Source organism: Homo sapiens, chromosome 5 (assembly GCF_000001405.40).
Source record: "Homo sapiens chromosome 5, GRCh38.p14 Primary Assembly".
NCBI classification, from domain to species: domain Eukaryota; kingdom Metazoa; phylum Chordata; class Mammalia; order Primates; family Hominidae; genus Homo; species Homo sapiens.
The window spans coordinates 95,607,897-95,633,925 of record NC_000005.10 but is presented as its reverse complement, the minus strand read 5'-3'; the positions used below and the strand labels follow the sequence as shown (position 1 = coordinate 95,633,925).

Sequence of the window (26,029 nt, the reverse complement as noted above, 5' to 3'; positions counted from 1 at the left end):
CCACAAAATCCTGGAGTAATCCAGACTCCTTTTATGTTGTTACTCTGCTAGCTCCCAGTGTTAGCAGTAGCAAATCTATATGCATCTGCACCAACTCAATTCTTGCCTCCTCAAAGGAAAGAATTTCGCCAAGGGGCATAAGGCAGAGTGAGAGGCTGAGACAAAGTTTAGAGCAGGAATGAAATTTTATTAAAAAGTTGCAGAGCAGGAACAAAAGGAAGCGAAGTACGCTTGGAAAAGGGCCCAGTGGGCAACTTGAGAGATCCAAGTGCCCCCATCAACAAGTGGGTGAAGGATATGAATAGACACTCCTCAAAATAAGACATTTATGCAGCCAACAGACACATGAAAAAATGCTCATCATCACTGGCCATCAGAGAAATGCAAATCAAAACCACAATGAGATACCATCTCACACCAGTTAGAATGGTGATCATTAAAAAGTCAGGAAACAACAGATGCTGGAGAGGATATGGAGAAATAGGAACACTTTTACACCGTTGGTGGGACTGTAAACTAGTTCAACCATTGTGGAAGACAGTGTGGCAATTCCTCAGGGATCTAGACCTAGAAATACCATTTGACCCAGCCATCCCATTACTGGGTATATACCCAGCGGATTATAAATCATGCTGCTATAAAGACACATGCACACGTATGTTTACTGTGGCACTATTCACAATAGCAAAGACTTGGAACCAACCCAAATGCCCATCAATGATAGACTGGATTAAGAAAATGTGGCACATATACACCATGGAATACTATGCAGCCATAAAAAATGTTGAGTTCATGTCCTTTGTAGGGACATGGATGAAACTGGAAACCATCATTCTGAGCAAACTATCATAAGGACAGAAAACCAAACACTGCATGTTCTCACTCATAGGTGGGAACTGAACAATGAGAACACTTGGACACAGGAAGGGGAACATCACACACTGGGGCCCCTTGTTGGGTGGGGGGAGTGGGGAGGGATAGCATTAGGAGATATACCTAATGCAAATGACGAGTTAATGGGTGCAGCACACCAACATGGCACATGTATACGTATGTAACAAACCTGCACATTGTGCACATGTACCCTAGAACTTAAAGTATAATAAAAAAAAAAAAAGAGAGAGAGAGAGAGAACCAAGCGCTCTGTTCGACACTTGACTTGGGGTTTCTATACATTGTCATGGTTCTGAGATTTGTGTTTCTTCTCCCTTGATTTTTCCTTGGAGCAGGCTCTCAGCATGTACAGTGTGTTTACTGAAGTTGTGCACATGCTCATTTGAGGCATTTTTCCCATACCAGTCAGGTGTTCCTAGAGGAAGGTCTTATATTAGTTCAACTCCCCCATTTTGCCTTAGTGAACATGCTTGAGCCCGCTTGCCCAACTTCTGAGATCTTTTTCAGGAAGCTGCTGATCACGAGTTCAGGTGTTTTCTATCTGCTAAGAGACCGCCTTTCCCTGGTGGTGGGTGTGCCCAATTATTATTTTAGTGAGACAACTTAACAAACACCTGACTATCATCTGATGATCACCTGACATTCCTGGCAGGGGGCCTCTCCTGCCCTGTTCTTGTCTGCCCAGCTACTACTCTAGCACTAGCATGCTGTCCTCATCTGCATGGTTGAACCTGAGTCACTGCCACAGTGTGTGACTGTCACATCATGTGTTCTGGCCAACAGGAAAGGGAAAGAGAACATGAAGGAGGCCAACCCCGGAAGACACACTGGTAACTTTTGCTCATATCCTGTTGCTGAGAACTGAGCCATGCAGCTATAGCTAAGTAAAAAGTAGGCTGGGAAATGTAGTCTCTGGCCAAGCAGTGCATAAGAAAGGGAGAATGGATTTTGGTGGACAGCTGACATTCTTCTCCATTTCCAGCAAATGAATCATTTACTTGGATTGTTTGGGGGTTGAAATGATGAAAATGCTTAACATAATTGTATACTGTTTTTCTAAAATGCATTTTGCTCTTCAGGTAGCCATGTTCTATCCAATACTCTCTCACTGTGTGTCCTGGCTGAGACTTTAACAGATACATAGGGTTATAAAGCAAGACCTGTAGCTTAAGATACGATTGACTTCTTGGCTATTATCTTTTCAGAGGAGGTGGGGAAGCACATGACACAGGCTGAGCAAGTTATCTTTAGCCCCAATTGTTTATCTGTATCCTTATGTGTAAACTGGAGATGATTATGATATATGCCTTTCAGGTTGCTATGAAGATTAAATTAGTTAATGGTTGTAAAGTGTCAAGCATATACCTGCTTCATAGAAATCATTTAACACATTTTAGCTATTAGGATTATGTTAAAAGATAAACTTTGGCACATTACAATTTTCGAGTTTATTTAGGCAGACAGTGATTCATGAGTCAGGCAGCTCCAAACTGACAGTGGCTTGGGCTCTTCTGAAAGGGTTCAAGGGGAAGCCCTTTATAGGGTGAATGCAGAAGCAGAGCAAAGAAATTATTTTATTGGTAAAAGTTTAAGCAGTTGCCTCATTTGGATTATCCCAGTGGGAAGTTCAAGACAATATGACTAATGCCCAGTTGGCCTCTTGTAATTGGCTGAGCTCCAGTTTCATTTTCTTTTAAATTCTAAGTTAGCTTTTGGTTTGCTTAAGTAGGAACCCAGGGCATCAGAGACACATCAATCTAATGGCTTCCTATTTAATTATTTTAACAATTATTATTATTCCTATTGAATATCTTGCTTAATACAACAATACTAGAACTGCTAAAGTATGTCAATAGCAGGAGCTTCATCACAAGAAAAAAAGGGGATTTGGTTAGGGCCTGACTCTATCCCTTGAATTTAACCTTCCCCTTGGAGCTCTCGCATTTCATTATTGGTGTGAAATCTCATCAAATTATATGATAAGCAGTTAAACATCCCAATTTGACATGTTATTGGAGACTAGAATCCAGGTCTTCTGAAATCTGGGTTTTCTGACTCCCTTTTTTAATGCATTCACCACCATTTTACCAGTCTATCGATTATTTAGTTACCTTTTGCTGTGAAACAAACCACCCTGAAACTTACCGGCTTAAAATGATTTATTATGTCTCACAGTTCTGTGTGTTAACTCAACAGTTCTTCTGTTGATCTCCCCTGGGCCCACTCACGCGGGTGCACTTATTAATAGCTGGAGAGTCAGTTGGAGGCTATGCCCAGCTGGGATGGCTGAGTGGTTAGGCCTCTGTTTCCACATGGTCTTCATAGCATGACAATGTCACATCAGCTTTTCTGAAAGGGCAAGCTGTCATGTATAAATGTTTATTGAGTTCCTACTTGTGAAACATCTGTACACAATGCCCCATTGGCCAAAGAAGGTCACATGACCAAATTCAGACTACGTGTGAGGAAAGATTACCCAAGAGTGGGTATTAGGAGGAGTTATTCATTGGGGGCCATTACTGTAATAATCTACCTAATATGGTTTGGATCTGTGCCCCCACCAAATCTCACATTGAATTATATTCCCCAGTGTTGAAGGTGGGGCCTTGTGGGAGGTGATCGGATCATGGAGGTGGAGTTCTTATGAATGGTTTAAAGCCATCCCCCTTGGTATTGTATAGTGTGTGATTTCTCACAAGATCTAGTTGTTTAAGTGTGCAGCACCTCCCCACTCTCTCTCTTGCTCCGGCTCCAGCCATGTAAAATGTGACTGCTTCTCCTTCACCTCCTGCCATGATTGTAAGTTTCCTGAGGCCTCCCCAGAAAAGAAGTCACTGTGCTCCCTGTACAGCCTGCAGAACCATAAGCCAATTAAACCTCTTTTCTTTATAAACTACCCAGTCTCAGGTATTTCTTTTCTTTTTTTTGAGACGGAGTTTTGCTCTTGTTGCCCAGGCTGGAGTGCAACGGCACAATCTCTGCTCACTGCAACCTCTGCCTTCTGGGTTCAAGCAATTCTTCTGCCTCAGCCTCCCAAGTAGCTGAGATTACAGGCATGTGCCACCACGCCCGGCTAATTTTGTATTTTAGTAGAGTTGGGGTTTCTCTATGTTGGTCAGGCTGGTCTCAAACTCCCGACCTCAGGTGATCCGCCCACCTCGGCTTCCCAAAGTGCTGGGATTATAGGTGTGAGCCACCATGCCCGGCCTCAGGTGTTTCTTTATAGCAGTGCAAGAATGGACTAGTACAGAAAATTGGTATCATGAGTCGGGGATTGCTATAAAGATACCTGAAAATGTGGAAACAGCTTTGGAACTGGGTAATGGGCAGAGATTGAAACAGTTTGGAGGGCTCAGAAGAAGACAGGAAGATGAAGGAAAATTTGGAACTTCCTAGTGACTTTTGTGACCAAAGTGCTGATAGTAATATGGACAATGAAGTCCAGGCTGAAGAGACCTCAGATGGAAATGAGGAACCTATTGGGAACTGGAGCAAAGGTTACTTTTGTTATGCTTTAGCAAAAAACTTGGAGGCATTGTGCCCCTTCCCGATGGAGCAGTGAAACTTCTAACTTGAGAGTAATGATTTAGGGTATCTAGTGGAAGAAATTTCTAAGCAGCTTAGAAATGTGACCTTGCTGCTTTTAACAACCTGTGCTTATATGTATGAGCAAATAAATGACCTGAAACTGGACCTTATATTCAAAAGGGAAGCAGAGTGTAAAAGTTTGGAGAATTTGTAGCCTGGCCATGTGATAGAAAAGAAAAGCCCATTTTCAGGGGAGGAATTCAAGCAGCCTGCAGAAATTTGCATAACTAAAAGGAAGGCAAGTGCTGATAGCCAAGACAATAGGGGAAAGGCCTCAAAGGCATTTCAGATCTTGTGGCAGCCCTTCCCATTACAGGCCCAGAGGCCGAGGAGGACTGAATGAATTCCTGGGCCAGGTTCAGGGTCCCCCTGCCCTGCACAGCCTAAGGACACTACTCCCTGCATCCCAGCTGCCCCAGCTCTAGTCATGGCTAAAAGGGGCCCAGACACAGCTCAGGCTGCTGCTTCAGAGGGTGCAAGCTGTAAGCCTTGGTGGCTTCCACATGGTATTAACCCTGTGAGTGCACAGAATGCAAGAGTTGAGGCTTGGGAGCCTCTGCCTAGATTTCAGACCGTGTATGGAGAAGCCTGGATGTCCAAGAAGAAACCTGCTGCAGGGGCAGAGCCCTTACTGAGAACCTCTACTAAGGAAGTACAGAGGGGAAATGTGGGGTTGGAGCCTCCACGCAGTCCCCAGTGGGGCACTGCTAATGGAGCTTTGAGAAGAGGGCCACCATCCTCCAGACCCCAGGATGGTAAAGCAACTGACTGCTTGTACTCTGTGCCCAGAGAAGCCACAGACACTCAATGCCAGCCCTTAAGAACAGCTGCAGGGGCTGAATCCTGAAAAGCCACAGAGGCAGAGCTGCCCAAGGCCTTGGGAGCCCATCCCTGGCATCAATGTGCTCTGGATGTGGGACATGGAGTCAGTCAAAGGAGATTATTTTGGAGCTTTAAGATGTAATGACAGCCCTGCTGGGTTTTGGACTTGCATGGGGCTTGTAGCCCCTTTCTTTTGGCTGATCTCTCCCTTTTGGAAGGGAAATATTTACCCAGTGCTTTTACCACTATTGTATCTTGCTAGTAATTAACTCGTTTTTGATTTTATAGGCTCATAGGAAGAAGGAACTTGCCTTATCTCAGATGAAACTTTGGACTTCTGAGTTAATGCTTGAATGAGTTAAAACTTTGGGGGACTGTTGGGAAGGCATGATTATATTTTGCAATGTGAGAATGACATAAGATTTGGAGGGGCGAGAGGTGGAATGATATGGTTTGGATCTGTGTTCCCACCAAATCTCATGTTGAATTGTATTTCCCAATGTTGAAGGTAGGGCCTGCTGCGAGGTTATTGGACCATGGGGGCAGAGTTCTCATGAATGGTTTAGTACCATCCCCCATTGGTACTGTGTAGTGAATGAGTTCTCATGAGATCTGGTTGTTTAAAAGTGTGCAGCACCTCCCCTACTCTCTCTCTTGCTCGTGCTCCAGTCATGTAAGATGTGCCTACTTCTCCTTTGCCTTCCTCCACGATTGTAAGTTTCATGAGGTCTCCCCAGGAGCAGATTGTAAGTTTCCTGTGGTCTCCCCACTGTGCTCCCTGTACAGCCTGTAGAACTGTGAGCCAATTAAACCTCTTTCTTTATAAATTACCAAGCTTCAGGTATTTCTTTACAGTGGTAAGAGAATGAACTAATACACTACCCCATCACATTTTATTATTGTCACTTTCCAATCTGGCCATGGAAAAGGGCAGCATAATAGCAATAGTTGGTCCTAAGTTTTCACTCAAAAGCTACTTTTAAATGAAACATGTATCTGTGATAAGTGATATATATCTATGTATGTAATAAAGGTCATATAGTGCTTTGCATAGAATGAATCTTTATAAGTATCAAATAATTGAATGAGTTAATTAATAAAATTAGCAATAGAAAGAGTTTGCAAATAATATTCTGTAACATTAATAATTGTAGGTTGAAGCCAGGCACAGTGGCTCACACTTGCAATCCCAGGTACTCAGGAGGCTGAGGTTGAAGCATTGCCTGAGCCCAGGAGTTCAAGACTGAAGTGTTATGTGATTGCCCCACCACACTCCAGCCTGAGTGACAGAGTGAGACCCTGTCTCTAAAAATAAAAATAATAATAACTGTAGGTTGAGGTTTCTCAACAAAATGCTTATCATAAAAATTATGGTTCTTTGTAGAATACATAGCTTTTAAAATGTGAGAGTTGTAACGGATTTTCTCGGATTTGTCCCATTGTGCCCAATGCAATGTCCAATGCAGTGCCTCAGTACATACTGGTTGATGGACTAAATAAAAGTATACTTGGAATATTCCTATTTTTTGATAAAGAACATAAGCCATTATGCAATAGGCTAAAATGGGACTCTCTTTTTCTTGCCAAACTTCTACTTCAGTTAGAGATTGCTTTGTGCTACAAATAACAAAAAATTCAACTCAACTGCTTTAAGCAATAAGAAATTGTATTGGCTTATTTCCTAGGACATCCAATAGCCAGGCCTCAGTAGCGTTTGGTCTTGTCAGCACAGTGAGTTCATTAAGGACCTAAGTTCTTTTCATCTCTCCACTTTGCCATATCCACAATGTTGACTTACTCTTGTGGCTGGCTTCCCTCTTGGTGAGAAGTGGCTGCCAGCAGCCATTAGGGTTACATGCTCCCTCATTTACCTTTAGTGTGAACAGACATTGAACATGCTAACTTCTATGGCTTTCCCAGAAGAGTTAAAAGATTCCTTCCTAGATTCCCTAAAAAACTTCCCTCACTCTCATTGCATCCCATGACCATTCCTGAGCGAGATATGGTGGCGAGAGGGATGAGAAATTACTCCAGTGGCATGGACTAATCAAGTCACAGTCTTGGAGTTGGAGAGCACCGAGGTTTCCTCAAAGTGCTGACTTTTTATAAAAGGTATAGACATTCTAATAAGAATCTGAGAACTGTCAGAAAAGGAGAAATAAATGCTAGGAAGGCAATGAACAATGCCCACTACTCCTTCTGTAAGGCCCAACTCCCTACTTTTAAGTACTACCATTGCTGCATTAATTTTCCATGACAATTCTCCAAGATCTATTGCTTTCCTTCATGTAATATTATTCAATTGGATTTTTATCCCTCATAGCCAGTATTAGAAAATAACATTAGCTATCATGTATTGAGGGAATCTGAAGAAACAAACCTAGATTCCCCTTACCTCCACCCAATCAAATATTTTGCGTACATTATCCTATGAAGGACATAGTATTAACTCCTATTTTCTTGATGAGAAAACCAAGACTCAAAAATATTCAGCAAACCGCCTGAAGTCACACAGCTACTAACTGTACAGATGAAAGTCAAGTTCAGGTCTTTAGACTCTGAATATTCTACTCTTTTCATAATATTATATTGCCTCCCAACTCAGCAAAATATATTTTAATTTAAGAAGAACAATTCATTTTTATTAGAATATTTTCCCTTTGATCAAGTCAGAACATTTTTAGGAATAGAAGGCAAACTCCTCAAATTTTCTAACATCTTCTGTGTTTCTTAGGACATACCTTAGAAAAAAATGCTTTAAATCTGTCTTCCACAAGATAAGCCAGACTATTCTATTTTTTGAATATTGTTTATAACTAATCACTAGTGTGGTTTATTACTCCTGGATGTTTTCTGCATTCTTTGCATTTCAAATTACAACATAAGTCACATTTACTTATTTTGGCCTTATGTTACTGAGGTTTTTCTTTAAGATGTAGAATTCTTTGCATTTAGTCTTTAAAGTTCTATAAAATCAGGACCACCACATTGCTCAGTTCTGCTGGTGATGTTCACATCTTCATCAATATGAAAAGTGCTCCCTGAAGTCCTGTGTGCAGTAGTTTGGTTAAAATCTAACTCCAAAAAATGTAGAGAATAGAGGAATGGTTTGTCTCTATTTTATAGGGCAACTTTGATTTCTTCCAAACTGCAAGTGTGTAGATCTGGTTTCTCTTCTAGTCGTTTCCTATTTGGGTGATAACCTAGAAAAGAGAGCAATTTCGGGGTCAACCTGTGTATTTGCCTTTGCTGTGTGATGTGAATATTATGTTCTACTCTAGCAAGAGTCTAAATCTGAATAACCTTCAGGGGCCTCCTTGACTAGGACACAGCTGAATCTCTGTGTTGCCTCTAGAAATGCAGATTAGGGTCAACACAAATAGGATGGCCATCCTGAGGAAATATCTCAAATTTCCTAACCTACAAATGCCTCCAGGGATGGGAACCAAGTCATCTAGTTATGTATTCAAGTTTCAGATATGGTTAAAATTAGAGGAAATTCCTTGCTTAAAGAAGAGAAGCATTTCCGTATAAATTGGGCTTAACTAAATCTACAAAATCTAGGAAAACATCAGTTTAATCGGATTTCAAATTAACTTCTTGAGTTGGTATTCTATATTTCCAACCCAGATGAAGAATTCTCAAAATTTCTAGGTAACAATGAGCTGAATACCCCTGTTGTATTGTAAAAACCAATCTAGATAACACTTTTGCAATAGTTTAAAAGTTTTATTCTTGCCTTTTTAACTAGCATTTCCTCTTCTTTCTTTACTGTAGAGCCTCAGTTTTTTCATCCCTCCCTCAATACAATTCATATGCTCAGTTCCATGTTCAAGCCAATCATGGTGGCCCCATTTCTCTTGCAATGATAGGTCTAAATATGGACATGTGATATAGTTCTGGCAAATGAGCCATTTAGGAGAGTCTACTGGGGACTTCTGAGACATGTTGTTTCATTTCTATAAAGGGTACAAAAAAGAGAAATCCTTCTTCTTCTGGACATTGTTACATTTGAATGTGATGCCTGGAATTGCAGCAGCCATTTTGTGACCTCAAGGGGAACTGGCCTGAGTGTCAAGTCCACCACTCAAGATGGCAGACTGGAAAGAGGAAAAGGATCTGAGCCCTTGTATGAGTGAGGCTGCTCCAGAAAAACAGAACCAATAGCATTTATATAGATATATAAGAGGAGATGTATTACGGGAATTGGCTCACGTGACCATGAAGGCCCAAAAGTCCTACCATATACTGTCTGCAAGCTGGAGAACCAGGAAAGCTGGTGGTAAAATTTAGTCTGAGTCTGAAGGCCTGAGAATGGGGGCTGTGGGGGTTTGTGCTGCTGGTATAAATCCTGGAGTTTGAAGGCCCAAGAACAGAAGTGAACTGTCCAAGGACAAGAGAAGATGGGTGTCGCAGCCCAAGAAGAGAGAGAGAGGATTCACATTTCCTTTGTCTTTTTGTTCTATTTGGGTGGGCCCTCAACAGATGGGATGATGCTTGCCACCTCTGGTGAGGATTGATCTTCTTCACTCAGTCTACGATTTGAATGTTAATTTCTTCTGGAAACACCCTCACAGGCACACCCAGAAATGATGTTTTACCAGCTATCTGAGCATCCCTTAACCCAGTCAAGTTGACACATAAAATTAACCGTCACAGCCCTTGATTATGAAGTTGAGCTACTTACTTAACCAACCCTGGCACAGCCCTACCACCAGACTTCTTGTCATGTGAAATAATAAGTTGAAGCCAGCTGAGTAAGCTTTTCTGTTAGGGTAGTCTTAACTGCAGAAAACAGAAAACCTGTCTCAGCTGCTTTAAATTTATTATCTCTCTTGAGCGCATTCGAAGTGGTCCAACATTAGGAATCGTATTCTGAAGACTCTCTGAGATTCTGCCTTGATTTCTCATCTAAGAATTCCCCCCTACCCTTCCATTTGGTGATCCTTCATGCCATCATTGAGATGACCTTTCTAAAATTGAAATTGGGTCAAATTATAACTGATTAAATTCTTCAAAGGCTACTTTTTGCTTTCTTGGCTTGGCACACAGACCTGTCTTCACTGGGGCCAGGCTGAATTTCTCTGACCACGTATCTCATTAGGTCAGGCCCCAAAGGCACCCTAAAGCTATTGTCATTACTTGACTATGCTATGTTCTGTCTCTTCTATGCTTTGCAGTGCTATTCCCGTTGCCTAGAACACCTTTCCTGACCTGAAGGGTCACCCCCAAACCAGCCTTCAAGAGCTTCTTTTGGTGAGTCTTTCCTAATGTCCCCTCATAGTCCCCCAAGATTGTCAGATTCTCCTCTTCAGTTCTTCTGGCACCCTGACTGAATTCCCCTGTTATAACACAGGTGACACTGCAGTGTAATTGTCAGATTGTTTCCTACATTTGACTATAACGTCTTTGAGGGAAAAATGTGACTTATTCATCTCAGCATCTCCAATGCCTAGCTTATTAACTGGCACAAAATAAGCAGGTAATAAATGTTTATTAATGAATAAATAATGGTATAATCTAGACTTGGGTTCATGAAGACAACTGTATCCTCTCTTTGGCTGATTTATTCCTGGTATTTTGCAGACCATTGCATCCTCAACAGGGTAAGGAGGAACAAAGAGAGGAAGGAAAAGCTACAACTCTGGAACATCTGCTGTCAAAATTTTGGAGGAAGGTAAAGAAAGCTTAGTAAAGATTTTCTTTCGTATATCTTTTATTTGTTCTATCTCTAACTCACATGATGAATTGTTCAACAAATATATATTGAGAGCCTACTACATGTCAAGCATTGTTTAAGCATTTGGAATATATTAGTGAACAAAACAGCCCTCAGCATTGGCTCTACAAAGAGCTTTAAACAATCATTTCCCCTTTCTGCATCTTAGGTCTGCATTTGTGCATGAACAAGAAACACTATAATGGAAAGCTTTAGATCCTCATACAAAAATCACTGATAAACCCATGGATATATTGTTCATAAGTGCTGCCACTTCTGTCTAGAACCAAGAACAGTTGAGAGGAAGAGGTTACTGATCAAATCCGCTCTTGACCTTGTTCTCAGCTATCCACACCAACAGGCATTGAATTCATTTTTTTAACAAGGGAGTTTTATATACACATGCAGCATTCTGAGGTTTTGACTTCCTTCCTAGCTGCAAATCTCTTTGAGGCTCCATCTGGGACACTGAGCCCCACCCATATGCACCACCTTGAAGCTTCCTTTCTCTGGTTTGCTGGGGACTTTGTACGGAGAGGCTCCATCTGGGCATAGCATTACACCTTTAGAGGCTGCTGGGGGCACAGGGACGATTTCCAACAGAAACCAAGTATATTTGAAAGACACCAAGTCAAGCTTTTGTTTCCTTCCTACAACCTCAGCTTCTGTTGAAGTGGAAACTAGACTGGAAATAAAGGCCACGCTGATTTTCTTCTGAGAAAATACATTACTATGTTAAAAAAAAAAAAGTCCCAATTGCTCCGTGGGAAAGGTTTTTATTTTATAAATACTCTGTGGCTCTGAAATGACAGCATGATTACATTTCTGACAGCACTGGTATAATTCTCAGACTCCCCAGGGAGAGCAACGTGGGGATTTTCCTCCTGGAAAGAAAAGGCAAACTTGCAGGTGCTGAAGGTACATTTGATTTAAGCACGATTCAAAATAAGTAAATACAGATGATAACACAGCAAATACTGAAAGTTGGGTAATCAGCAAAAATAAATGGCATTATCCAGAGCACTATAAATGCGTGAAAGAAAACTGCAAAAATAACTGTTTTTGTTTTTACAACTTTCCAGTGGCTCACTGTCTCCAAATGGGGAGATATGAGAGGAACTGTAGGGAAGAAGAGAAACTGGAAGAGCATAGGGAAATGTAAACATGAGAAGGGAATAGGAGAGTGGAGGAAGGGGACAACTTCAGTGTCACTCTCTCACAGACTCTCCTGCCCCTTGTGATCTGGACAGACCCTGGCAGGCCTCGAGTTCCCTGGAGGTTGCGCCTTAGCGACAGATGACCCGTCTCTGACCACCAAGCACCTAGAAGGCACTTTCGCAGGAGCAAGGCAGGGGTCTGGGGCGCGGAGGGGGTGGGCGCAAGCCGCCCTCGTCCAGCGGTTCCCGCCGAGCATGGTGATAATGAGGGTGGGGCCAGCGTTGGCGGTAGAGCGCCTGGTGGCCCCGGGGCCCCTCCTCGTCCTCCGCGCCTCCCTGCGGCGCGCAGCACAGAGAGCCCAGCCGCTTCCGCAGCTGTCGCCGGAGCCGGCAGTCGCCCGCCTGGAAGAAGAGGTAGACGAAGGGATTGAGAGCGCTGTTGGCCATCGCCACCACGCGCAGCGCCGCCGACAGGCCCTCTCCCTCCCAGTCTCCCGCGGGCCCGGACGACCACGCGGCCGCCAGCCGGGCGGCAAAGTAGGGCAGCTCGCAGCCCACGAACAGCAGCGCCAGCAGCAGGCTCATCTTCAGGCTCTGCACCTTGGCGCGGGGCAGCGCGCTGGGCGCAGGGGCTCGACCTGGGCTCGCCGACCAGGGCGCTGCAGCCGCGGGGGCCTGCGGCCGGTGCCGCCACCAGACGGAGAGTAGGTGGCCGCAAGCGACGCCCAGGACCGTAACAGGCGCGACGAAGCCCGCGACGGCCTCGTAGAACGCGTAGACCTGCAGGTGCCAGCGCGGCAGGGGCGCGAAGATCCCGTGGCAGCGACGCTCCCCCGGCCAGGCGCGGGCGGCCGGGGGCGCGCCTGGCTGCAGGGACGTTGGCGGCGGCGGCGGCGGCAGCGGCGAGGGGGAGTCCCCGCGCACCACGAAGGCCGGGGGCAGCGCCAGCAGCAGTGCCAGCAGCCAGCCCAGGGCGGCGAGGGCACGCGCGGGCAGCGGCCGGCCGTGCGGAAGACGCACCGCGCGCCGGCGCTCGAGGGCGATGAGCACCACGAGGTGGGCCGAGGCGCCCCGCCCGGATGCCTGCAGCAGCTGCAGGAAGCGGCACGCCAGGTCCCCCGTGGCCGCGCGGGGCTCGCCCAGCAGTTCCCAGGCCAGCTGTGACAGCGCCGTGCCCCCGCACGCGTACAGGTCCGCCAGGGCCAGCTGCACCAGCAGGAAGTCCATCTTGCGACGCTTGGGGCCCGCCCAGGGCCCGCCGCCGCCGCACAGGCGGCACAGCACTGTGGTGTTGCCTGCCACCGCCACCACCAGGATGACCCCCAGGAACACCAGGCGGACGCGGCGGCTGGGCGGCCCAGAGGCAGGGGCTCCTTGCCCCAAGGTCAGGTTGAGACCCCAGCCCAGCAAGATGGGCACGGAAATGTTGGGCGCCGGCGGCAGAATTGAGGGGCTAAAGAGATCCTCCATCCTTGTCCCGGAGGAAGAGGAGGCACCGAAGAGGGCGGGCAGGACGCGGGAAACCAAAGTGGAGGCGAGGCGGCGCGGGGAGCGACGCTGGGTCTATACGAGTTCCCAAAGTTAGTTGAAAAGGCACACGCACAGAGAGGGAGATGGATTCGGGCGGCTTTGCGCTTAGTTGTTTTTGTCGATTGTCCTCGTGATTTGTCACTCAAATGTGGGTTGTACACTCGAGGAACACACATGATTCCTATTCTCCACCTTCCCCGCGTCTTCCCTCCCATTCCCGGCGGGTACTCTTCCAATCTCTGCAGCGGCCCCCGACGCTACCCTCGCGGAAGCCGCGGACCCCTGGGCGCTGAGAACCTCATCCATTCTCTATTTACGTGTAAAGCACAGCAGGACAGAATGTCGCTTTGCTTGGCCATTGTATACGGCCAGTGTTATGCCAGCACCCACACAAGAGAGGACCTCTTGACTGAGATTGTACCACACGCCCCCACCACCCCAATGTGATTGCCAGTAGGAAAAAAATAGAAAAGACATTAGTTTTTATTTTAAAGGTTTGAAATGCCATGGATCTGCACGAGCATGAGAAAAACAGGAACACAAGAAACCTAACAGCGTTTTGAGCAAAGAGGAGACCTATTAGCTGAATTTTGATCAAGATGTGTCTTCTCTGTCCAAGAATGAAAGTATTTTAATTAGAGGGTACTAAAGTCAATGATGTTGCTTTTAGGAGTGGCAGTGTTGCAGATCGTTCCAAATACTAGGAGCAGTGGGTCACAGCTGCTTTCTTGGTGATGTAAAATTCATTTCATTAGTCTGAAGAGGGCATTAATAGGTTTTATGCAAATGGTAGTGCATTTATTGCTTTTCTCCTAATATTTTCATCCAGTGAAGGATGCGTCATCACACTCCTCATTCTCTTGATTCTGTTTTCCAGCAGATGGGAAGTTGCTAGGAGGGGCTACGCCTCCAATAAGCCTAGAGAAAAGGTGACTAAGAAAGTGATAAGGCGGCCAATTTTTTTAAAAAAGAAATCCAAGTCACAGGAAATGGTTTAGATTAAATGTTGCTGCTTTCATTTTAGCCTTGTCTCCTCACAAACACATTTTAGTTTCCCTGTTGGAAGCATCCATTTGTCTTTTTATGCACCCTCCACGTTAATCATGGTGAAAGTAGAATTTCCTGTACTTCCTGGCCTGGGGGCCAGGGAGGTATGAGTGTTGTCTAGGGTTCACATTCCCAATCTGAGGAAACATTTGGAACTTTAAGATTCATGGCCTAGGAAGATTTGGTGGGTTCCATGATAGTCCTGCCAGCTGCTGTAGGAATCCCATTTCCCAAGCTGTTGTCCTTTGGCCAGAAACCTTGGTTATTTTCATCATCATCTCTGTGGTGCCTCGCTCTGGTCTGACAGGTTGTAGTTATCAGTGGGTATGTGTTGAGTTGATGAATTAGTGGATATACGATGCTTTTCAGATACCTTCGAGCATAAATGCCTGCCTTGACTATAAATCCATCACCTAAGAAAAAATTCCTTTTATACTATGCCAGTATTGTCCAGAGGAGCCCAAGGAAGCTCTGTGGAGACATAGGAATAAGTGTTCCTGGTGGGACATTTAAGAAAGCTAGAGTGATAGCCTTGGAAAATCTAAAATCCTGGTTTGATTTTCATACTCTCCCTTTAGAACTTTTTATCCAAGGCCTTTTTCTATGCACACACATCATCCCAGTTTATAATGCACTTCTTCCAGGGAGCCTTCTCTGAGCAATGTTCATCATTCAGTGATTTTCCTAGCCAGTATCATTTCAGTGTTTCTCAAGATAGTCTATCATTTGTCTCAAATTTGTTGAAATGCTCTTATATATTAGCATTTCAAAATGACTATAGTGAAATTTCACAGAACTTTAGTAAGATCTGATAAAACATTGATTTTCAACAAATTCTTTTTTTTTTTTTTTTTTCCCTTTTTGAGACAGGGTCTCACTCTGTTGCCCAGGCTGGAGTGAAGTGGCATGATCATAGCTCACTGCAGCCTCGACTTCCTGGGCTCAGGTGATTCTCTCACCTCAGCCTCCCAACTAGCTGGGACTGTAGGCAGACACCACCACACCCAGCTAAGTTTTGTATTTTTTGTAGAGGCTAAGTTTCGCCATGTTGCCCAGGCTAGTTTTAAACTCCTGGGCTCAAGAATCTGCCCACCTTGGCCTCCCAAAGTGTTGGGATTACAGGCATGAGCCACTGGGCCTGGCCTAAACTAATTCTTATTAAAATTATACAATGCACATAGTTTTGAAAGTCAAATGGAACTAGAAGGCTGATAACATAAAGAGTTCCCTGTCCTATACATCTCCACTTCTTTATCCCCTCTTTCTAGAGGGAACCAATTTAGACTCTATTTGCTCTTTCTTCTGGCATTGACTTAATTCATAATAGTAAATAATATATATGTAATGCTATTCATTGATTTAACAAATTGATATATTATCTGTTAACTTCTTATTAAAGACTTATCTCTCGCACCTCTGTCACTATTTCCATTTCCCATACCATTAGAACAATACTGTAATTTTGGGTTAGACTTATATTTGGTGTTTATATTATTATGAAACAAAAATATTCACAGTTGAGTTGTATATTGTGAATATTATTTTTTGTTATTTTTAAAGTTAATAATTGCCTTTTCTTACTTTTCATTGTTATCATAGCTAATTCTTCCTGTACCCTCAAATAGTCCCCCCAAGCAATTTCCACAAGGTCAGTTTCAAAACGTAATATAGCAGCTCCAATTTTTTTTCACGGAAACCTCTTTACCAGAGACTTTCATTTTTCTCTTATTTGGGCTAATTTCTCCCAAGGCCTACTGCATAACTACCATCTGCGGACCTCCATTTGTTGTCGTCATTGAAACTTTCTGCCTTTCTCTTGGGTTGCAGTTCCTGTTTCTTGGATCTCTGGTCTTTCTCCTTGATTTCTTCCTTTTTGGTAGAACACATCATCTAATATTTCATAAGGTTTACAAGGTTGTACAAAGCCTGAGAACTAAGTGGTAAGAGACCTCATTGTACTCCTTATTTGAGTCATGCAGATTCTGTCTGGACATGTTGCCCTCTGGGCCAGCGGTCATCCTGGCATCTCACGTCAGCATCGTCCTAGGGATTCCTTTCACTTATCTCATGCTGGTTCTCTTGTTTTCTGATTTAATGGATTTTTTTCTTTCCTGGTTTATTTTCTTGCTTGGGAAGAAAGCACCTTTCAGTGACTTCTTGAGAGAAGGTAACTATTTGGGATCCCACATGTCTGAAAATTTCTTTATTCTACCCTATTGCCTAACTGATTATTTGGCTGGGTTTGGAATCCTATTTTTGAAAATCTTTTCCTTCTGAATTTTGAAGGCATTACTCCATTCCCTTTCTGGCTTCTGAGTGTTTGTGTTGAGAAGACTGAAGCCATCTGATTCATGTTTTGCTTAGATATGATCATTGTTTTTTTCTTTCTAGAAGCTTGTTATTATTCTCTTTTTTCTAACCAATTTTACAAAAATGTTTTTCTATAGGTTTATTTTTATCTAATGTGCTGGGCATAATCAAAGATAATGAATTATATTTGATTGTAATACTTATTTAGTGGCCTTTACCTAAATAGCCTCCCAGCCTGTCTTTTTCTTTTTGGGATGCTGACATTTGAAGAGTCCATGACACATGTTTAGCGGAATATCCTTAAAATTGTATTTGTTTCCACATAATTAAATTTGGATTTGACTTTTCTGGCAGGAACATTACATAGGTAATACTGTCAAAAGTGTATCATTTCTGGGGTGCATAATGCCACTTTGTCTCAATATAAATGTTGTCTCAATATAGATGATATTAAGTTTGGCATATATGTTTTGAAAACTCAGTAGTTTTTAATTAAATAAGCAGTACATATTAATTGCAGAAAAATTAGACAATGCATATTCACATACAAAAAACACTTAACATACTGCTCAAAAAAACCTGTTGTTAATACTCAGTGATATATATTTCAGGCTATAATGACTAGATCTGTATATTACAGAAATAGATTACACTGCATACAACATTTTATATCCTGCTTTCATTTCACCTAAGATTGTATTTGGATCACTTCCCATGTCAGTGATAATATGATATAATTATCTGTTTAATGTTGAATGGATTACAATTATTTAAATAGCCCCCTATTTTTAGACAAAAGTTTTTCTCATTTTCACTTTATAAATAATTCTGTGAAGAACATCTCTTCACCTACATCCTAGCACATGCATTCAATTATTCCCTTATGATAAAATCCTGTCATTGGAATTGCTGAGGCTGAGCACGTGCATTTTTAATGCATTTTAACATATAGTACTGAGTTATTCTCAACAAGGGATGCAAGCAATGTATGTGTCTTTTTCCCCATAGCCCCAACAATATGAGCATCATCAGCGTTTGTCATTCTCATAGATGAAAACACTTCATTATTTCTTCATTTTAAAAATTGAGATATACTTTATATATCATAAAATCTAGAATTTTAAAGTATACAATTCAGTGCTTTTTAGTATATTTACAAGTTTGTGCAACCACTGCCACTATCTAATTCCAGAACTTTTAAATCATTCCCAAAATAAACCCGTACACATTATTTTCCTCTTCCAGCACCTAGAAACCACTAGTCTCCTTTGACTCTATGGATTTGGTTATTCTTGACATTTCATAGAAATGCAATCACATAATGTAGCCTTTTGTTTTTGGTTTCTTTTGCTTTGAATAATGTTTTTAAGTTTCATCCACATTGTAGTATGTAACAGTATTTCATTATTTATGGCTAAATAATATTTCATTATGTGGATACACCAAATTTTGTTTATCCATTCATCAGCTGATGGATATTTGGGTTGTTTCTATTTTAGGCTGTTTCCATTTTGGTTGTTTTCATTATAGTGAACAATTCTGTTATGAATATTTGTGTACAAGTTTTTCTGCGAATGCCTGTTTCAGTTCTCTAGAGTATATTCCTAGGTGTGAAATTGCTGAGTCATATGTGAATTTCATGTTTAACTTTTTGAGGAACTGCCAAGCTGTTTTCCATAGAGACTGGGCCCTTCCCACCATCATTGTATGAGTTTTCCAGTTTCTCCCTTTGCGTAGATGCAGTTTCTCATTTGAGATCATATTCCTTCTGCTTAAAGAATGTCCTTTAACATTTCTTATAGTTCAGATCTGCTGGCAACACATTCTCTTAGTTTTCTTTTTTTTTTTTTCTGTCTTATAAAGTTTTTATTTTACCTACATTTTTGAAAGATACTTTTGCTGGGCATATAGGATTCTATGATGAGTTTTTCTTTCAGTACTTGAAAGAAGTTGCACCATTGTCTTCTAGTTTGCATAGTGCTTGATACATTTTGCTCATCTTTGTAATGATGTAATTCTTATCTTTTTGTTTGTTTATTTGTTTGAGACAGAGTCTTGCTCTGTCGCCCAGGCTGGAGTGCAGTGGTGCAATCTTGGCTCGCTGCAACCTCTGCCTCCCGGGTTCAAATGATTCTCATGCCTCAGCCTCCCAAGTAGCTGGGATTACAGGTGAGTGCCACACGCGGCCAGGCTGGTCTCGAACTCCTGGCCTCAGGTGATCTGCCCAGCTATGCCTCCTAAAGTGCTGAGATTACAGGCATGAGCCACCGTGCCTGGCTGGTTTCTTTTTTTGGAGTGTTTCTTTTTTTCTGTGGTTGCATTCAAGATTTTCCCCTTATCTTGCCTCACTGCAACCTCTGCCACCTGGGTTCAAGTGATTCCCATGCCTCAGCCTCCCAAGTAGCTGGGACTACAGTCATGCACCACCATATCCATCTAATTTTTGTATTTTTATTAGAGATGGGGTTTCACCATGTTGGCCAGGCTGATCTCAAACTCTTGACCTCAGGTGATCCACCCGCCTTGGCCTCTCAAAATGTTGGGATTACAAGCATGAGCCACCGGGCCTAGCCCTTTGTATATATTCTGCTTGGGCTTCTCTAAACATTTAGGTTGGTGATTTGTTGTCTTTTATTAATTTTGGAAAATTCTCAGCAATTATCTTTTCAATTATTTCTTCCGACCTTTTATCTCTTTCTATTCTCCTTCTGTGACTTGAATTACATGTATATTATGCCATTTCATACTGTCCCACAGCTCTTGGATGCTCTATTTTTCTCCACTTTTTCTTTTTCTCTTTTTTCCCCTCTCTGTTCCAGCTCTCCTCAGAGGGGCTTGCCACCTTTTGAAATTCAGGATTTTATTTTGAAAATTTTCTATTCTAACCTGTAGTCAAGTTTACTAATTCTTTCTTCTATCTCTAGTCTGCTGATAAGGCAATTGAAGGAATTCCTCATCCATAATAACATGTTTTTCATGTCTAGTGTATCCAATTTATTCTTTTTTGAATCATTTCCATCTCTGCTGAAATTCTGTATATGTTCGTGCATGTGGTCCACATTTTCCACTAAATCCTTTAACATATTAATCATAGCATTTTTACAGTTACTTTGACAGTTTCAACCTCTGGGCCATCTCTCAGTCTGGTTCTGTTTACTGCTTTATCTCTTGAAAATTGGCTTCTTTTTTTTTTTTCTTTTTAACTCTTTTGCCTTGTAAGTTTTACTGAGTGCCAGACATTATATATAAAAGAATAAGAGTGACTGATGTAAATAGTGTTTACTTCTGAAAATGGCCATGCCTCTTCACTCATCAGGCTACTAGGGTGGTAAATCTAATCAGTAGTTGAGCTAGGTTTAGATTTTGTTGTTACTACAGTTATCATTATTATACTGTTGACTTCATATTCCTCCATACTGACATCTTGCGTTTCAACTATGAGGCCTGGAATGGTAGAAGGTTTTTCTCAGTGTTTCTGCTCCATCCCCAACTTTCAGCTGGCCCTTCACACTTGGCCACCAGAGTGGGGGAGGGGACGGGGATGTTTCTTTCCAGGCTTTGGCCCCTCTCCCAGAAGTTCTGTGCTGTTTGCTGCCCATGATGGGGGCAGGGTGGCTTTCTTGGCCTTCCTGTTCCAACCTTTGTCTTATTCAGGCCCTGGGGGCCTGAGCCTCAAGTGTGGGAGTTTCTCCATAATCCTGTCCCTTCCCTCTATGGCAGCTGAATTCTGTCTTGTAACTTCCAAGAGCAAATTTCTTGGTTCTGTCCCTTTTGTGAGAAACCTTTGCTTTGTAACAAAGATTCTGGGCATGAATAGGTTTCTCCATCTTGCTTAGCAGTGATAGCTTTCGCTGTAATCTACCCCTCCCCAGTGACAGCTGACCTTTTGCTGAGGACTGGGGGTGAGAGTGTTTTCTGATCCTGCCCCAGTGGCAGATGTGTTTTGCTTTGTATGACAAAAAGTCCTGGGTTTTATGCTTGTCCTCAAGAGGCAGCCACTCTCTGTCTGTACACCCATCCCACTAAGGGGGCTCCATCAGGTCTTCTGCTCTGCCCCTAGTCTTTCTCTTTAAGTACCATATTAAGTCCATGAAAGAAAGCTGGTTAGTCAGTGGGCACACCGTGTGTGGGGGGTTCCCAGAGTTTCTACTGTTATTTTCACATGCATTTGGCCTTTAAGTATATGTCAAAATATCAGTTGCTTCTTTACCCACTTTTTTGGCTGTGAGTTTTTCCTCCCGTGTTCTGTCAGAGGTCTCACCTGTCCTTGGAGGTGCTTGCCACCTTTTCGAATTTAGTTCACCTGTTGCCTGGCAATCTCCTTTCTCTGATAGGCTCAAGAAAAGTTTTGATTTTGTAGATTTTCTGCCTTTATTTTTTTCTTTTGGTTGTTGTTGTTAACATGGGAGCAGTATTCCCTTGCATCTTTGTCTATCCTAAGTGGAAATACAATTCTCAAACCATTATTTAAGGATATCAAAACTTCACCGTAAATATTGCAAAATTTATGCATATTTTTTCTAACTTTTAACATTGAAGAGTTTTTAAATTTCCTTTAATAATAAAAAGCTTAAGGCTAAGAATATTATTCTGAGTATAGTTTTGGTTGTATCATATATTTTTCTAAATGTTCTTATTTTTGTCTGTAGCCATGCCATCCTGAATGACTGATCTAAATTTTCTCATTTTTATTACTTTTAAAATAGCATATAATTATAATTTTTTGACTCAAGAATTTTTTAAGACTCAGCTTTTTAATGTTAAAATTAAAAATAATTGGGTTAGGCCAGGCTCTGTGCCTCACGCCTGTAGCCTGAGCACTTTGGGAGGCTGAGACAGGAGGATTGCTTGAGTCCTGGAGTTTGAGACAAGCTTGGGCAACATAGGGAGACCCTGTCTCTGAAAAATAAAAAAATTAGTCAGGCACGGTGGCGCACACCTATACTCCTGGCTACTTCGGAGACTAAGGTGGAAGGATTGCTTGAGCCTGGGAGATTGAAGGCTGCAATGGGCTATGATTGCACCACTGCACTCTAGCTGGGGTGACAGAGTGAGACGCTGCCTCCAAAAAAATTTTTTTGGCGGTAAAAATTCTACCTAATGAAAGTTTAATATACATAATTGTAAATAATACATACATAATTGTAAACAATATATATGTATACGCACACAAATGAGTATGGCCAGTGTAGAAGGGGGATAATAGTTCTAACATGGGTCTAGATGGTCTGCTTTCCACATGAGCTTCTTCTACCTAGTTTGTGTTGAGTCATCTCTTTTTTGCTTCATGGCCCCTCATTACCAAGTTCTTAGTTTAATTCAGTGGTTTATAGTATGTTTTAATAGCCAGTAATATTAATCCCACCTCGATATTATTTTCCCATAATTTTATTACTTATTTCAGACATTATTTTTTCCATAAAAACTATCAGACCATTTCATTCAATTTAAAAAATCAAATAAAAATATCTCTTTTCTGGAATAAAATCAGGATTGCACAAAATTTATACATTAATTTTGGGGAAGTGATATTTTGAGATTAGATCTTCCCATCCAAGAACATGCTGTCATTGCATATTCATATTTTGTTTATATACTTCAATAGAAGTTTATAGTTTTAAAAATCTAGGTTTGTATACCTCTCATTAAAATGTAAAGTATTTTCCAGCCTGACCAACATGGTGAGACCCTCATCTCTAGAAAAAACTTAAAAATTAGCCGGGCATGGTGATGCACACCTGTGGTCCCAGCTACTCAGGGGGCTGAGGCAGGAAGATCACTTGAGCCCAGGAGGTTGAGACTGCAGTGAGTGAGCCATGTTCGCACCACTGCACTCAAAACCTGGGTGACAAAGTAAGATCCTGTACCAAAAATAAATAAATAAGTAAACAAATAAATAAATATGTATAGGATAACATGAATGTAATATTTTCTCTAATTTCTGTTTTTACCTAGTGATTCCTCTTATAGATATATGTGAGTCAACATATCGCTCTTGTTGCTCAGGCTGGAGTGCAGTGGTGTAATCTCGGCTCACTGCAACCTCTGCCTCAAATGATTCTCTTGCCTCAGGCTCCCAAGTAGCTGGGAATACGGGCGCCCACCACCACACTCAGCTAATTGTTTGTATTTTTAGTAGAGATGGGGTTTCACAATGTTGGCCAGGCTGGTCTTGAAGTGTTGACCTCAGGTGATCCCCCCACCTCACCCTCCCAAAATGCTGGGATTATAGGCATGAGCCACCGCGCCTGACCTTTTATTTTTGTATATGCAGCCATTTAACAAATTCCATCCATTCTAGTAGTTTTTACGAGGATCTCCTGGGTCTAATAAATTGAAAAACCACAAACAGTAGAAAGAATACAAAATCCATTAAAAAACAAAAACCAAAACAAGATAAAGCTCCTAGTCGATATGGATGCTTCTTTCCTGAGGATGGTAGTTTGAATAACAAGGTTCCAGACTAGTGGTTCCCAGATTTTGCTGCACATTAGAATCACCTGGGAAGCTTTTTTTTTTTTTTTTTTTGAGCCTTTTTTTCTGTCACCCAGGCTGGAGTGCAGTGGCGTGATCTCAGCTCACTGCAACCTCTGCCTCCTAGTTCAAGGGATTCTTCTGCCTCAGTCTCCCGAGTAGCTGGGATTACAGGCACGCGCCACCACGCCCGGCTAATTTTTGTATTTTTAGTAGAGACGGGGTTTCACCATGTTGGCCAGGCTAGTCTTAAACTCCTGACCTCAGGTGATCTGCCTGCCTCAGCCTCCCAAAGTTCTGGGATTACAGGCTGGGAAGCTTTAAAACTCCTGCAGCCTGGGGTAGGAGCCAGGCAATAATAGTTTTTAAACATCCTCAGGTGATTCCAATTTGCGGCAAGGTTGCAAACTATTCTAGCCCAGCATTGAGCAAACTATGGCCCACAAGGCAAATCCTGCATTTTTGTAAACAAAGCTATATTGGAACATAGCCACGCTCATTTGTTTACATATTGTCTTGCTGCTTTCACACTTCAGCGGTAGAGATGAGTAGTTGTGAAAGAGACCATATGGCTCACAAAGCCTAAAATATTTAGTATCTAGCCTTTTTTTAATAGAAAAAGATAAAATCACAATGAGGTGTAATCTCACCCAGTTAGAATGGTTATTATCAAAAGGACAAAAAATAATAAATGCTAGCAGGATGAGGAGAAAGGGGAACTCTTACACTGTTGGTGGGAACGTCAATTAGTTCAGCCATTATGGAAAACAGTAAAATGGTTCCTCAAAAAACTAAAAATAGAACTATCATGATCCAGCAACGCCACTATTAGGTAAATATCTAAAGGAAAGGAAATCAGTACATTAAAGGGATACATGCACCCCATGTTTACTGCAGCACTATTCACAATAGCCAAGGTATGGAATCAACCTGTGTCCATCAACAGATGAATGGATAAAGCAAATGTGGTATATATACACAATGGAATACTATTTAGCTGTAAAAAGAATGAAATTCTATCATTTGCAGCGACATGGATGAAATTGAAGAACATTATGTTAAGTGAAATGAGCCAGGCACAGAAAGATAAATGCTGCATGTTCTTACTCACAAGCAGAAGCGTAAAAAAGCATTGATCTCATGGAGGTAGAGAGTAGAGCAGTGGTTACTAGAGGTGGGGACGGGTAAGGGGAGAGAGGAACAGCTAAAGATTGGTTAACGAATACAAAAGTACAGTAGGATAGGAGGAATACATTCTAGTGTTCTATAGTACTACGGAGTGACTGTAATTAACAATAATTTATTATATATTTTCAAATAGAACAGATTTTGAATGTACACAAAGAAATGATCAATGTTTGAGGTAATTGGTATGCTGATCACCCTGATTTGATCATTACACCTTGTATACATGTATAGAGGTATACTGTAGTCCATAAATAGGTATAATTATTTTATTTATTTATTTATTTATTTATTTATTTTGAGATGGATTTTTGCTCTTGTGCCCAGGCTAGAGTGCAATGGCGCAATCTCAGTTCATGGCAACCTCTGCCTCCCGGGTTCAAACGATTCTCCTGGCTCAGCCGCCCAAGTAGCTGGGACTATAGGCATGCGCCACCACACCTGGCTAATTTTTAGTAGAGACAGAGTATTTTTAGTAGAGACAGGGTTTCTCCATGTCTCTACTAAGACATGCAGAGGCTTGGTCAGGCTGATCTCGAACTACCAACCTCATGTGATCCACCAGCCTTGGCCTCTCAAAGTGCTGGGATTACAGGCGTGAGCCACCGCACGTGGCCAATAGGTAGAATTATTATGTGTCGATTTTAAAAAGATAAAACAAAGGGGGATAGTGTCTATTTGTTAGCTCTTTTGTGCAAGATTTTGCTACAATTTACTGTTTCTAGAAGGCTTTGCTTTATTAAGAAAACTACTCCCTTGGCCGGGCTCGGCGGCTCATGCCTGTAATCCTAGCACTTTGGGAGACCGAGGTTGGCAGATTGCCTGAGGTCAGGGGTTCAAGACCAGCCTGGCTAACATGGTGAAACCTCATCTCTACTAAAAATACAAAAATTAGCCGGATGTGGTGGCACATGCCTATAGTCCCAGCTATTTGGGAGGCTGAGGCAGGAGAATGGCTTGAACCCAGGAGGTGGAGGTTGCAGTGAGCTGAGATGGAGCCACTGCACTCCAGCCTGGGTGACACAGCAAGACTCCGTCTCAAAAAAAAAAAAAAAAAGCCTACTCCCTTTTACTCCCCACCCTGCTACAGCCCAAATTTGTTGGTTTTCTAAACTAATGTGATATTTGAAAAGCTGTAATTCCCAGTAAATTAATTCAACAAGTATTTACTAAGCTTCTACTATGTGTTAGGCATTTGAGATACTTTATGGAGAAAAGGGACAAAACGCCATGCCTGGTTGGAGCTTTTATTCTAGTACCGTCAGAAAGGGTAAAAGACAGCTCAAACACATTAATTATGTAA

At 42.2% G+C, this 26,029-nt stretch overlaps 1 protein-coding gene and 1 long non-coding RNA gene across 2 annotated transcripts, besides 9 other annotated features; one reads left to right on the top strand and one right to left on the bottom strand.

The window, feature by feature from the left end:
• Positions 1 to 1,585: 1,585 nt before the first annotated feature.
• On the top strand, positions 1,586 to 11,073 carry LOC112267933 (uncharacterized). The gene is made up of 3 exons (XR_002956221.2): positions 1,586 to 1,724; positions 10,485 to 10,560; positions 10,891 to 11,073. It is a non-coding gene; the product is annotated as an uncharacterized LOC112267933 (long non-coding RNA).
• Positions 1,726 to 1,875: an enhancer, noted in NCBI's record as "active region_22798". NCBI's record gives its function as "activates an Ori minimal core promoter by ATAC-STARR-seq in GM12878 lymphoblastoid cells {active_cell/tissue: GM12878}" and the evidence as "EXISTENCE:reporter gene assay evidence [ECO:0000049][PMID:35858748]".
• Positions 11,074 to 11,783: 710 nt separating the features above from the next.
• Positions 11,784 to 13,839, bottom strand: GPR150 (G protein-coupled receptor 150). The gene has a single exon (NM_199243.3). It carries the CDS (start codon positions 13,648 to 13,650, stop codon positions 12,346 to 12,348), a length of 1,305 nt encoding a protein of 434 aa, NP_954713.1. The 5' UTR covers positions 13,651 to 13,839; the 3' UTR covers positions 11,784 to 12,345.
• Positions 11,972 to 12,471: an enhancer, noted in NCBI's record as "H3K4me1 hESC enhancer chr5:94957159-94957658 (GRCh37/hg19 assembly coordinates)". NCBI's record gives its function as "activates a minimal SCP1, AML or CMV promoter by ChIP-STARR-seq in primed H9 embryonic stem cells {active_cell/tissue: H9 hESC(primed)}" and the evidence as "EXISTENCE:reporter gene assay evidence [ECO:0000049][PMID:30033119]".
• Positions 12,209 to 12,268: a silencer, noted in NCBI's record as "silent region_16185". NCBI's record gives its function as "represses an Ori minimal core promoter by ATAC-STARR-seq in GM12878 lymphoblastoid cells {active_cell/tissue: GM12878}" and the evidence as "EXISTENCE:reporter gene assay evidence [ECO:0000049][PMID:35858748]".
• Positions 12,489 to 12,938: a silencer, noted in NCBI's record as "silent region_16184". NCBI's record gives its function as "represses an Ori minimal core promoter by ATAC-STARR-seq in GM12878 lymphoblastoid cells {active_cell/tissue: GM12878}" and the evidence as "EXISTENCE:reporter gene assay evidence [ECO:0000049][PMID:35858748]".
• Positions 12,489 to 12,941: a biological region, named in NCBI's record as "Sharpr-MPRA regulatory region 2204".
• Positions 12,647 to 12,941: a silencer, noted in NCBI's record as "tiled region #2204; HepG2 Repressive DNase matched - State 4:PromP, and K562 Repressive non-DNase unmatched - State 23:Low". NCBI's record gives its function as "represses a minimal TATA promoter and a strong SV40 promoter by Sharpr-MPRA in HepG2 and K562 cells {active_cell/tissue: HepG2 | K562}" and the evidence as "EXISTENCE:reporter gene assay evidence [ECO:0000049][PMID:27701403]".
• Positions 12,959 to 13,008: a silencer, noted in NCBI's record as "silent region_16183". NCBI's record gives its function as "represses an Ori minimal core promoter by ATAC-STARR-seq in GM12878 lymphoblastoid cells {active_cell/tissue: GM12878}" and the evidence as "EXISTENCE:reporter gene assay evidence [ECO:0000049][PMID:35858748]".
• Positions 13,099 to 13,498: a silencer, noted in NCBI's record as "silent region_16182". NCBI's record gives its function as "represses an Ori minimal core promoter by ATAC-STARR-seq in GM12878 lymphoblastoid cells {active_cell/tissue: GM12878}" and the evidence as "EXISTENCE:reporter gene assay evidence [ECO:0000049][PMID:35858748]".
• Positions 13,668 to 14,283: an enhancer, noted in NCBI's record as "H3K27ac-H3K4me1 hESC enhancer chr5:94955347-94955962 (GRCh37/hg19 assembly coordinates)". NCBI's record gives its function as "activates a minimal SCP1, AML or CMV promoter by ChIP-STARR-seq in primed H9 embryonic stem cells {active_cell/tissue: H9 hESC(primed)}" and the evidence as "EXISTENCE:reporter gene assay evidence [ECO:0000049][PMID:30033119]".

Bases quoted from the DNA above. Each gene is read 5' to 3' on its own strand.
- GPR150 (NM_199243.3), bottom strand. From the start codon at position 13,650: ATGGAGGATCTCTTTAGCCCCTCAATTCTGCCGCCGGCGCCCAACATT.